The following is a 14,694-nucleotide window of genomic DNA, read 5'->3' as shown; positions in this document are numbered from 1 at the left end:
GAACTGCACATATTTAAGTATACAATTTGATGAGTTGGTATATGTATATACCCATGATACATCACCCCAATCAAGATAATAAATTGTTAAATTAAACTAAATTTGGCCTGAGGCTGCCTTCCTCCTTTGAGTCCTAACTTAATGAGCTGTAAATAACTGAAAGCCTGACTTAGGAGTGTCAGAGACATTTGAACTAGAGCGACTCCATCTTGAATAGGGGCTGGGCAAAATAAGGCCGAAACCTATTGGGCTGCATTCCCAGGAGGTTAGGCATTCTTAGTCACAGGATGAGATAGGAGGTCAGCAGAAGAAACAGGTCACAGAGACCTTACTGATAAAACAGGATGTGGTAAAGAAGCTGGCCAAAATCCACCAAAACCAAGATGGTGATGAAAGTGACCTCTGGTTTCCAGCTTCATCCATGTCCCATCCTGCTTAGCAAACTGTCGCAAGGACAAGAAACCAAACACTGCATGTTCTCACTTATAGGTGGGAATTGAACAATGAGAACACTTGGACACAGGAAGGGGAACATCACACACCGGGGCCCGTCGTGGGGTGGGGGGAGGGGAGAGGGATAGCATTAGGAGATACACCTAATGTAAATGACGAGTTAATGGGTGCAGCACACCAACATGGCACATATGTACATATGTAACAAACCTGCACATTGTGCACATGTACCCTAGAGCTTAAAGTATAATAAAAAAAGAAAGTGACCTCTGGTCATCACCACTGCTCATTATATGCCAATTATAATGCATTAGCATGCTAGAAGACACTCCCACCAGTGCCAGGACAGCTTACAAAGGCCATGGTGATATGGTTTGGTTCTGTGTCCCCACCTAAATCTCACCTTGAGTTGTAATCCCTATAATCCCCACGTGTCAAGGACAGGACCAGGTGGAGATAATTGGATCATGAGAGACAGTTTCCCCCATGCTGTTCTCATGATAGTGAATCAGTTCTCAAGAGATCTGGCATTTCTCCTGCTTGCACTCACTCCGTCCTGCCGCCATGTGAAGAAGGTGCCTGCTTCTCCTTTGCCTTACACCATGATTGTAAGTTTCCTAAGGCCTCCCCAGCAATGGGGAACTGTGAGTCAATTAAACCTCTTCCCTTTATATATTACCCAGTCTCAGGTATTTCTTCACAGCAGCGTAAAAATGGACTAATAAACATGTCAACATCCGAAAGTTACCCTATATGGTCTAAAAAGGGGAGGGACCCCCAGGTCTGGGAAATCTCCATTCCTTTCCCAGAAAACTCATGAATAATCCATCCCTTGTTTAGCATATTATCAAGAAATAACTCTAAGTATACTCAGTCGAGCAGCCCATGCCACTGCTCTGCCAATAGAGTAGCTATTCTTTTATTCTTTACTTTCTTAATAAACTTGCTTTCACTTTATGGACTCATCCTAAATTCTTCCTTGCATGAAGTCCAAGAACCCTCTCTTGGCATCTGGATTGGGACCCCTTTCCAGTAACAAAAACACAATACCCCAAAGTTTAGTACCTTGATGTGCTGAGTACTTTAAAGGAGGTTTGAAGTCCTCAAAGGCAACGTCTCTCTGACCCTCTCCTGCCCTCCTCTCTCTATCCCCGGTTTTCTCCTAGAAAAGTGTCATAGAAACCAGAATTCCTCTTCCCCAATGCAGGTCATAGAACCTAGAAAGGTCGTTCTCTGACCTTCCCCCTTTTCCCTTGGAGACCCTCATGTGACAAGTGTCCTGTCTTATACCCAGAGGAAAGAAATGCTACACAAAGAGGCCAAAAAGCATATGAATGAACAGGCCTTACTGAGCTTCCCCCTTCAGTCCATTACCATTAGATTGTACCTTTTTGTCCAATCACATTTCCACACAGCTGTCCATTCTTCATCAAACCTAAGCATAAAAATAGACAGTTTGTCCTGGGTCTTTGGGTCTGAAGGCTCCCATGTCACATAGAACCTTGATTAAATAAATTTGTTATGCTTTTTTCTTGTTAACCTGTCTTTTGTTATAGGAGTGTTGGCCATGACTCTTACCGTGAGGAAAGGTAGTACACATTTCTACCCCTACACTTGTTATGGTTAATCTTTCAAATTTTAGCCATTCTAATAGCTGTGTAGTAGTACAGTCAATTGTTCATCTCCATGGGTTCCACATATGTTGATTCAACCAACTGCAGGTAGAAAACATTTTTTAAAAATTGCATTTGTACTGACATGCACAGACGTTTTTGCCTTGTCATTTTCTAAACAATGCAGTATAACAACTATTTACATGGTGCTTACATTGTATTAGGTATTATAAGTAATCTAGAGATGATTTAAGGTATATGGGAGGACGTGTACAGGTTATATGTAAACTCCTATGCCACTTTGTATATCAGGGACTTGAGCATCCACAAATTTGGGTATCTGCAGGAGGTCCTGGAGCCAATCGTCCACAGATATCAAGGAAAGACTGTAGCTCATTGTGATTGTTTCTATTCTTCTGATTGAGTTTTGAGAGTTCCTTATATGTTCTGAACACAGGCTTTTTATCTGATGTGTGATTTCCAAATATTTTATCTCGGACTATAGTTGTCTTTACTTTTTTTTTTTTTTAATATGAATGTTAGATCTTTTGTTATAGTACCACAGGTTCCTGATTTGTTTTGTTTTTGTTTTTTCCAGTCTGTTTTATCTCTGCCCTTTTTTTTTTTATTATACTTTAAGTTTTAGGGTACATGTGCACAACGTGCAGGCTTGTTACATATGTATACATGTGCCATGTTGGTGTGCTGCACCCATTAACTCTTCATTTAACATTAAGTATATCTCCTAATGCTATCCCTCACCCCTTCCCCCACCCCACAACAGGCCCCGGTGTGTGATGTTCCCCTTCCTGTGTCCATGTGTTCTCATTGTTCAATTCCCACCTATGAGTGAGAACATGCGGTGTTTGGTTTTTTGTCCTTGCCATAGTTTGCTGAGAATCATGGTTTCCAGCTTCATCCATGTCCCTACAAAGGACATGAACTCATCCTTTTTTATGGCTGCATAGTATTCCATGGTGTATATGTGCCACATTTTCTTAATCCAGTCTATCATTGTTGGACATTTGGGTTGGTTCCAAGTCTTTGCTATTGTGAATAGTGCTGCAATAAACATACGTGTGCATGTGTCTTTATAGCAGCATGTTTTATAGTCCTTTGGGTATATACCCAGTAATGGGATGGCTGGGTCAAATGGTATTTCTAGTTCTAGATCCCTGAGGAATCACCACACTGACTTCCACAATGGTTGAACTAGTTTACAGTCCCACCAACAGTGTAAAAGTGTTCCTGTTTCTCCACATCCTCTCCAGCACCTGTTGTTTCCTGACTTTTTAATGATCACCATTCTAACTGGTGTGAGATGGTATCTCATTGTGGTTTTGATTTGCATTTCTCTGATGGCCAGTGATGATGAGCATTTTTTCATGTGTCTTTTGGCTGCATAAATGTCTTCTTTTGAGAAGTGTCTGTTCCTATCCTTCGCAAGGACTTCGTGTCTAAAACACCAAAAGCAATGGCAACAAAAGCCAAAATTGACAAATGGGATCTAATTAAACTAAAGAGCTTCTGCACAGCAAAAGAAACTACCATCAGAGTGAACAGGCAACCTACAGAATAGGAGAAAATTTTTGCAATCTACTCATCTGACAAAGGGCTAATATCCAGAATCTACAATGAACTCAAACAAATTTACAAGAAAAAAACAACCCCATCAAAAAGTGGGCGAAGGATATGAACAGACACTTCTCAAAAGTCTTTACATTTTCTTAACAGGGTCTTTTGGAAGGCAAAAGGTTTTAATTCTGATGAAGTCTATTTTATTAATTTATTCTTTCATGGATTATGTTGTTGGTGTTATACTTAGTAAATCTTTGTATAAACCAAGTTCACAGAGGTTTTTTTCTGTGTTTCCTTCTAGAAGTTTTGAAGTTTTAGGTTTTTCATTTAAGTCTATAATCCATTTCAAGTTCATTTTTGTGTACAGTACAAAGTATGGCTCCAAGTTTATTTTTTTTTGGTATATGGATATCCAATTGTTATAGCATCATTTGTTGAAAAGATTAACATGTCTCCAGGGAATTGACCGTTGCAGAAAATCAGTTGTCAATTATGTGTGGATCTATTTCTGGATTTTCTATTCTGTTCTACTGATTTATGTGCTGATCTTTACATTAATGCGACACTGTCTTGTTTACTATAGCTTTTTAATAAGCCTTGAAATCAGTAGCATTAATTCTCCAACTTTGTTCTTTGCATAGTAGTTTTTGCTATTCTAGATCTTTTACAATTTCTTATGTATCAGCTGGTCAATCCTAAAATCATGCTAGGGATTTTTATTGGGATTGTACTGAATCTACAGACCAATTTGAAGAGAATTGTTATCTTAATAATATTGAGTCTTCTGGCCCATGAACACAGTATATCACTCTGTTTATTTAAGGCTTCTTTATCTCAGCAATGTTTTGTAGTTTCCAGTGAGCAGGTATTGCACATATTTGACAGATTCCTTGCTAAGTATTTCAAATTTGTTAATGCCAATGTAAATGGTAATTTTTGAAAGTTTTAATTTTTGATTGTTTGTTGCTAGAAGATAAAATACATTTTTAATTTATTTGATTTTTATACATTGATCTTGTATCCTTCAACCTTAATAAACTCATTTATTAGTCTTGCAGCTTTTTTTTAGACATCATCAGATTTTTCACATGGACAATACAAAGACAATCATAGATGATCAGATTTTTCATATAGATGATATTAGTCCATGAATAAAGTTTTACTTCTTCATTTCAAATATGGATTCCTTTTATTTCCTTTTCTTGTCTTATTGCACTGGCTAGAACTTCCAGTACAACACTGAATAGAGATGATGAGGGTGGACATCCCTTTCTTGTCACTGAACTTAGAAGGAAAGCATTCAGTGTTTCAACATTAAGTATAATGTTAGCTGTAGGATGTTAGTAGACAACCTTTATCAGGCTTAGCAAGCTCCCTTCTATTTCTATTTTGCTGAGAGATTTTATCAGGAATGGATTTTGGATTTTGTTAAACATTTTGCTGCATCTGTTAAGATAATCATATTTTTCTTTTTAAATATAGTAATTATTTAAATGACTAATTTTTAAATGTTTTTTTATTAAGATAAAATTCATATAAAATTAACCATTTTAAATTGTAAAATATGGTGGCATTTAGTACATTCACAATGTTGTGCTACCACCACCTCTAGTTCCAAAATATTTTTATCACCACAAAAGGAAACCCCATACCTGTGAAGGAGTCACTCTCTATACCTCTTGCCCTCAGCCCCCTGGCAACCAGTAATCTCCTTTCTGTCTTTATGAGTTTACTTACTCTAAATATTTCATATAAATGGAATCATACAGTATGTGACCTTTGTATCTGGCTTCTTTCGCTTAGCATAATGTTTTTGGTCATCCATGTTGTAGCATGTATTGCTACTTCATTTCTTTTTGTGGCTGAACAATATTTCATTGTATGGATATACCACAATTTGTATATCCATTCACGCATCAGTGGACATTTGGGTTCTTTTCACCTTTTGGCTTTTATGAATAGTGTTGCTATATAAACATACGTGCACATGTATTTTGTTTGAGTACTAGTTTTCAGTTCTTTTGAGTATATACCTAGGAGTAGAAGTCTAGGGTCATATAGTCATTCTCCATTTAACTTTTTGAGGAACTGCCAAATTGTTTTCCATAGTGACTGAACTATTTCATATTCCCACCTTAAAGGTATGAGGGTTCCACTGTCTTCACATCTTCACCAACACATGTTATTTTCCATTTTTTAAAATAGCTATCCTGCTGCATGTGAACTGGTAGCTCGTTTGATTTGTATTTCCCTAAAGACTAATGATGTTAAGCATCTTTTCTGTGTTTTTTGGCCATTTGTAAATTTTCTTTAGAGAAATGACTACTTGAATCCTTTGTCCACTTTTTGATTGAAAGTGACATTGAATTTTGAATATTAAAATTTTGAAACCAACTGTGCATTACTGGAATAAACCCTATTAGGTCATGATGTGTTACCCTTCTTATAAATTGCTGGACTAAATTTGCTGAAATTTTGTTTAAACTTTTTCTCCTATGAAAATCTATGAAGGACATTAATCCACAGTTTTCTTTTCTTGTCATGTCTTTGTCTGGTTTTGGTTTCGTGATAATGTTGGCCTCATAGAATAAGTTGGGAAATATTCTTTCCTTTTCAATTTTATGGAAGAGTTTGTATAGAATTGGTATTATTTCTTCCTTAAACATTTAGTAGAATTTACTAATGAAGCAATCTGGCAGACAGTTGCTCCTGGGGAGGGGATTTATGACAATTGAGTTCTTTTGGGAGGCACTGCTTTTAGGCAGAGAAAGTTTTTCAGGAGCTCAAATGCCTTCAGCTCAAAATAATTTTTATGCCACAGTGGCTTATTCTGGACCCTTTCATTGTAACTCTTCAATTTGTTATTATATTGGTTGTTTTAGGGTTTGCAGTATATGCCTTTAACTTAGCATTATCTACCTTCCAATGATGTATGGTATAGTATAGTAATCTTAAAATAGTATACATCCATTTCTCCCCTATTAAATTTTGTGCTATTATTACCTTACTTTTCATATGTTTTAAGCCCCACACTGCATTGCTATTTTTATTTAATAGTCAATTATCTTTTAAAGAGATTTAAATAGCAAGAAAAAACTAATATAGTTATCTATGTAGTTACCCTTTCTTGTGCTTTTTAACCCTTTGTGCAGATCCATATTTCCATCTGCTATCATTTCTCTTGTGCCTAAAATACTTCGTTTAACATTTCTTGTAGTATGGGTCAGTTGGTGATGAATTATTTTGCTTTCTTTTTAAATGTCTTAAAATGTCTTTATTTTGCTTTCATTTTAGAAAGATATTTTCACAGGGTATAAATGCCCAAGTTGAAAGTTTCTTCTTTCTATATTTTAAGTACATTGCTCCCCTTATTTCTGGCTTACATTGTTTCACATGAGAAATCTGTCAACTTTTTTTTTGTCCCTCTGTATGTAATATATGTTTTCTCTTTGGCTAATTTCAACATTTTCTATTTATCACTAGTTTTAAACAATTTGTTTATGATGAGCCTTGGGCTAGTTTTCTTGTGCTTGGGATTTGTTGAGCTTCTTGGTTCCTTAGATTTATAGTTTTCATAAAATTTGGAAAATGTTTGGCCATGTTTTCTTCAAGTGCCTTTTTTTTTTTTTTTTTTTTTTTTGAGACGGAGTTTTGCTCTTGTTGCCCGGTTGGAGTGCAATGGCACGGTCTCAGCTCACTGCAACCTCTGCCTCCTGGGTTCAAGTGATTCGCCTGCCTTAGCCTCCCAAGTAGCTGGGATTACAGGTGCCCGCCACCACGCCTGGCTAATTTTTATATTTTTAGTAGAGACAGGGTTTCACCATGTTGACCAGGCTGGTCTTGAACTCCTGACCTCAGGTGATCTGCTTGCCTCAGCCTCCCCAAGTGCTGGGATTACAGGCATGAGCCACTGTGCCTGGCCCAAGTGCTTTTTCAGTTACCACTCCTCTCTTTTCCATTGGTGACTCCTATTACATATATATTAGGCTGCTTAAAGCTGTCCCGTGGTCACTGATGCTTTGTTCACCCTTTTCTCATTTGTGTGTGTGTGTGTGTGTGTGTGTGTGTGTGTGTGTGTGTGTGTGGTTCATATTGGATAGTGTCTTTTGCTTAGTTTTCAAGTTCATTAATAATTTTTTCTGTAACATCTAATCTGCCATTAATCCCACCCACTATATTTTTCATCTTGTACTGTACATGGTATTAGATTTAGGTCTTTTTATATCTTTAATGTCCCTACTTAACATGCTCAGTTTTTCCTCTAGCTTCATGTATATATGGAATAAAGTTATAATAATGGTTCAAATATCCTTATCTACTAATTTTATCATCTAAGCAATTTCCGTGTCTGTTTTGAGTGATTTTTCTCCCCATTATGGATAATATCTTCCTGCTTTTTGCATGCTTGCTAATTTTTTTTTAGATGCCAAAATTTAGACTTTTATTTTGTGGTGTGCTGAATATATTTGCATTCTCTTAAACAGTTGTGAGCTTTGTTCTAGGGTATGGTTAAGTTACTTGGAAACAATTTCCTTCTTTAAGGTCATGCTTTTAAGCTTTGTTAGGCAAGACAAGAGCAGCCTTTAGTTAAGGGCTAATTTTTTCCCAAAACTGAGGCAAACCCTTCTTAGTACTCTACCCAATTCTTCATCATTAGTAAAGTTTTTGACTCTGACTGATGGGAACAAGAATGTGGTGGGCAGAATTCTAAGATGTCTGCCAGTGACCCATACCTTTATATAATCCCTTCCCATTTGAATATGGTTGTGAATCATGAATATGATAGGACAGTCACTACCATAATTAAGTTATGTTATGTGGCACAATTGATTTGAGAAAGACTGGGCCAGGCACAGTGTCTCATACCTGTAATCCTAGCCACTTGACGTTGGGAGGCCAAGTCAGGTGGATCACTTGAGGCCAGGAATTCGAGACCTGGGAGACACAGTGAGACTCCATCTCAAAAACAAAAAACAAAACAAAACAAAAAAACAGTAGTTATATAATTTTTAGTTGGTAGTGTTCTAGTTCTAGTGCCAGTTCTAGTGGCAATTTAGTTGGTAGTGTTCTAAACATTTTTCTCTTTGGCTTCATATGCATGATAATTCTACTTCTTGCTAGTTTCCACAGTGTTTAGCATGATGCCTTATATATAGTAAGCACTCAATAAATGCTTGATTTGATATTTTAAATTTGATTTTTTAAAACCATTTATTTTCAGTGAACTTTCAGAATTGCTGTGGGTACTATTTCACATTAGTTTTCAAAAGTATCATTGCATAACTACATCCAAACTAGATTAATATATGCATATATACATGTCAATATTCTATGTTGTCATATTACGCTGGCTTCCCCTAAGAGCAGATCCAAAGATTAAGTCTTGTTGGCAGGTAGTTTATTTAGAGGTGTGATTCCAGGAAGCAGTTGTGCACAAGAAGCAGAGTGGAACAGGGAAGGAGGAAAAGAGTCAATCTAAGCAAAAATAGAGTTGGCCACCACTATAGAACATTGGTGCTCACTCCACCTGGGATCTCTTGTAAAGTGTTAAGAAATGAGTCTCAGAAGTGTCTGCTCAACAGTCAAAGGAGGAAATCAGTTATCTATTGGCCCCTGTTCCCCATTGGTCAAGAGCAGCTCCATGTGTGTTAAACTCCCTCACACTTTCTGGTTGTCTATGTCTAATACAGAGGAGGTTCCTAGTGATGGACCCAAGCCCCAGGAAAGGAAGTGAGAAGTGTATGGAACCAGCCAAGGAGGGGCACTGTCCAATTGCACCCATGTGAAGCCAGTCAAAGTGTGAATGGAACTGGGTGCTGCAGCAATGCCTGGAGTAAAGGGAGAGGCTAAGAGGATTTTGGAATGGTATAGAGGAGTTGTCCAACATACATAATGTTCTGTAAGTTATTTAACAATTTAATCCACTCCTGGTTTCTAATAGTCTTTTAAATTGATATCCACACAATTTCGAGTATCCTCAAGCTGCAGAAGGACTTCCAAGGTAGTGATGAGAATAAGCCACTGAGGGGAATGCACCCAAATTATCAATAATATTCTTGAAATAATGATTTTTAAAAGTATTACTGTTCATTAGAGTTCTGCTTCAAGCCAAGATATATAGTATGGGGGACCAGATTTATCCTCTTGCCTGAAACAACTAAAAAACTGTTCAAGATATATGAAACAATTATTTTCAAGATACTGGACTTCAGGCAATGAAGGAGAGTGATCCATGAGAAAGAGGAAAGTGGTGAACCTCACTTTTGCCCTAGATTACTGCCTAGGGAGAGTTTCTTGCCAATGTTGAGGGAAGAGGTAAACCAAGTAGAATATAGCAGACCCCATGACTACACTACAGGAGATAGGGCCAAGAGTCGAAGAGTACCCAGGGAGCTAGAGTTCACAGGACACATTATTTGAGAGGAGAGAACTGCACAGAGATAGAACTTCAAAGATCTGTAGGGGGCTCCTCACATATTTAGCTGAGTACTGAGCAGTGCGTGTGTGCAAGGAAACTACCCAAGACTGGGGAAAGAAGCACCTGAAAGGATTAGAAGAAATAACACTTGGTACACAAAGATAGTAATAATGCCTATTCTCAACAAATTGTCTGCAAAGTCTTATAATTCATGAACTATTGTACCCAGAACGTTCTTGCCTCAGTAATGAGGAATAATTAACCCTAGATGAAACATGGTGTTATCCCACCTAACAAATTTCAAAAGTGAGACCTAAAAGGATCAAACTGTTTCCAAGTAATTTAGCCATGTCCTAGAAAAAAAGCTGAAGAATATCTATAGGGATACATAAATATCCAGCACTTAAAAAGGTAAAATTCACAAGGTATGGCATCCAGCAAAAAAATTACCAGGCATGGATAGGAAAGGAAACGTCAACTCACAATGAGGAAAAAAAATCAATAGGAACTGATCTAGACCTGACATAGATGTTATAATTAGCCGACAAGGACAATCAAACAGCTATTATAACTATCTTCCATATGATCAAAAAGTTAATGAGAGATATGGAAGATAAGAAAAGACTGGACTTCTGATAAAAACTACAGTGTGTGAGGTGAGATGAAAAATACCTTAAATGTGATTCATGGGAGATTAGACTTTGCAGAAGAAAAGATTAGCAATAGAAATCCCAAAATGAAGCTCTAAGAGTAAGAAGATTGTAAAAAAAAAAAAAAAAAGACAAAGAAAAAGAATAAAGAAAAAAAAATGAGCACAGCAGTGGACTGTGGGCCAACTTAAGGCATTCTAATGTGTGATTATAGTAGCAGAGGCAGAAGAAAGACAGGGAAATAATGACCTAAAGTTTTTCAAATTTCATAAAAACTAGAAACACATGAATCCAAGAATATTATAAACGAGCACAAGAAATATTAAGAAAAATCAGACCAAGGAACATCATAAACTGCTCAAAACTAGATATAGATTGAAAATCTTAAAAGCAGCCACAGAAAAATTATATGTTATGGACAGAGGAACAAAAATAAAGATTTCAGCAGATTTTTCTTCAGAAACAATGCAAGCAAAAAGATAGGGGACCAACTGGGCGCGGTGGCTCATGCCTGTAATCCCAGCACTTTGGGAGGCTGAGGCGGGCGGATCACGAGGTCAGGAGATCGAGACCATCCTGGCTAACACGGTGAAACCCCATCTCTACTAAAAATACAAAAAATTAGGGCGTGGTGGTGGGCGCCTGTAGTCCCAGCTACTCGGGAGGCTGAAGCAGGAGAATGGCGTGAACCCGGGAGGCGGAGCTTGCAGTGAGCCGAGATTGCGCCACTGCACTCCAGCCTGGGCGACAGAGCGAGACTCCATCTCAAAAAAAAAAAAAAAAAGATAGTGGACCAATATCTTTAAAGTACTGGAAAAGTAAAACTGACAATGTAGAATTCTATGCCCAGTAAAAATATCTTTCAAAAATGAAGGCAGAACAGGTACTCAAATATTTATGCACAAATGTTCTTAGCAGAAAACAACCCAAATGTACATTTATAGATGGATGAGCAAATTATGGCATATATATACTGTGGAATATTATTTAGTCAAAAAAGGATTGAGGTATGGATACATGCCACAACATGGAGGAACCTCAAAAACATGCTAACTAAAAGAAACCAGATACAAAAGGTCATGTATTATATGGCTTTATTGATATGAATATCCAGAATAGGTTAAGTTCATCAAGACAGAAAGCAGAGTGAGCTGGAGGAAGGAAGGAATGGGGAGTGACTGCTTAATCAAGACAGGGTTTTCTTTGGGGACAATGAAAATGTTTTGGAACTAGACACAGGTGGTGGTTGTACAACATGGTGAATGTACTAAATGCCACTTAATTTTACACTGTAAAATGGTTAATTTCATGCAATGCGAATTTCACCTCAAAAATGTCAGTTGACTATGAACTGGAAGGCTCAATATAATAAAGATGTAAATTCTCCCAAATTGAAATACAAATATAATGCAATTCCCACTAAAAGTTCAGCAACACTTTTTGTAGATATAGACAAGATTATTTTAAAATTTATATGGAAAAAGAATGGAACTAGAAAAGCTAAAATGATTTTGAAGAAGGTCAAAGTGGAGGAGTCAGTCTATCTGATTTAAATATTTTTATTATATAGCTACAATCATCAAGACTGTTTGGCATTGGTAGGAGCATAGAAACATAGATCATTGGAAGTGGATAGAGAACCCAGAAATAGACTCACACAAATATCATCAACTGATTTTTGACAAAAATACTAAATCAATTTCACCAAGTGGTGCTGAAGTAACCAAACATTTATAGGCAAAAAGAAAGAAAAGCCTTGACCTAAGCTTCATGCTTTGTACAAATATCACCTCAAAAAGGATCATGGGCTTAAGGGTAAAATGTAAACACGTAAAAGGTGTAGAAAAAAACCCAGGAGAAAATACTCAGGATAAAGGGTAGGTGAAGAGTTCTTAGACTTAACACCAAAAGTGTGATCCATAAAAGAAAAAAATATATAAATTGGACTTTTAAAATTAAACATTTGCTCTGCAAAAGACCCTATTAAGAGGATGAAGAGACAAGCTACAGACTCAGGGAAAATCTTTGCAAACCATGTATGCAACAAAGGATGAGTATCTAGAATATGTAAATAAATCTCAAAACTCAATCCATTACAAAAGACATGAACCAACATTTCACCAAGGAGGATATACAGATGAAAAGCACATGAAAAGTCATTCAACATCATTTAACCATTGGGGTAACACAAACAAAGTTACAATGCGATATCACTACACATCTATCAGAATGTTTAAAAAAATGAAAATAGCAACGTAAAATACTGGCTGGTTGTGGAAAAGCTGGATCACTCATACATTGATAGTGGGAGTGTTAAATGGTACAGCCACTCTGTAAAACAGCTTAATAGTTTCTTTAAACATGTAACTACCATACGACCCAGCAATTTCACTCCTGGGTACAAAACCTATATATGAATGGTTATAGTAGCTTTATTTACACTAACCCAAACAGCCTAACTGTCCTTCAAAGGGTAAATGGTTAACTACAGCACCTCCATACTGTGGGATACTACTCAGCAATAAAAAGGAATGAATTGTTGATACAATGTAACAACTTGGATGAGTCTACAGAGAATTACCGTGTGAAAAAAGCCAATCCCCAAAGATTACATACTATATTATTCCATTTATACAGAATTCTTGACAAAATTATAGAAATGAGCAGCAGATCAGTGGCTGCCAGAGTTTAAAGGGGTAGTGTAGAGGTTGGGAGGAGAGGAAATGGGTGTAGATACAAAAGGGCAAGTGATGAATCCTTGTGATAATGAAAACGCTCCGTCTCTTCACTATCAATGTCAGTATTCTGGTGTGATACAGTACTATAGTTTTTCAAGACGTTACCAGTGGGGGACCTGGGTAAGGGCTACATGAGATTTCCCCGTATTATTTCTTACAACTGCATGTTAATCTACTATTATATAAAAATAAAAGGTTAATTTAAAAAAATTTAAAGAAAGGCAAAAATAAAGACTTTTTCAGATATAGAAAAAATGAAAGCGTTTATCATGAGCAGTTCTCTCCAAATTGATCTATAGATTCATAGTAATCCCAATCACAATGAGAGTAAGCATTTTTGTAGAAATTGACATACTGATTCTAAAATTCAGATGAAATGCAAAGGCAGAAGGAAAGTGTCTTCACTCGGGAATTGCACCAAACATTTCATAAAGAAATAATACTGATTCTACATAAACTCTTCCAAAAAATTGAAGAGAATGGAATACTTCCCAACTCATTCTATCAGTTGAATGTTATTCTGATACAAAAACCAGAAAATGATATTTAAAGGAAAAGAAACTACAGATCAATATTCCTCGTGAACATAGATGCAAACTTTTTTTTTTTTTTTTTTTTTTTTTTTTTTAGATAGAGTTTTGCTCTGTCTTCTAGGTTGGAGTGCAGTGGCACGATCTCGGTTCATTGCAAACTCCACCTCCCGGGTTCAAGCCATTCTCCTGCCTCAGCCTCCCAAGTAGCTGGGATTACAGGCATGCGCCACCACACCCAGCTAATTTCTGTATTTTTAGAAGAGATGGGGTTTTGCCATGTTGGCCAGGCTGGTCTCGAGCTCCTGACCTCAGGTGATCCACCCACCTTGGCCTCCCAAAGTGTTGGGATTACAGGCATGAGCCACCACACCCGACCCAAACTTTCTCTTCTAAAAAATTATTTTTCTAATAATTTATTTTGAAATCTTTTTAAATGTACAGAAACATTGCAAGGACAGTACAAAGAACTCCCGTATCCCCTTCACCCAGATTCTTGCACATTTTATCACATTTGATTCATCACCCTCTCTTTTTATATATACCTGTTCATCTTTTTCTATTTTTTTAAGATTTTAAACAACAGTTTTGTTTGATGCTTCATTTTCAGACATTTTAATATCAGTCATTCCATTGACATTCCACGAGCAAAATTTTTCCAGAACAACAGTATGGAATAGTTCTGAATTATGGTATTGCACAGGTAGAAAAAAA

Source organism: Homo sapiens, chromosome X (assembly GCF_000001405.40).
Source record: "Homo sapiens chromosome X, GRCh38.p14 Primary Assembly".
NCBI lineage: Eukaryota > Metazoa > Chordata > Mammalia > Primates > Hominidae > Homo > Homo sapiens.
The sequence above is the reverse complement of the archived record's forward strand: the minus strand, read 5'-3'. Positions refer to the sequence as shown.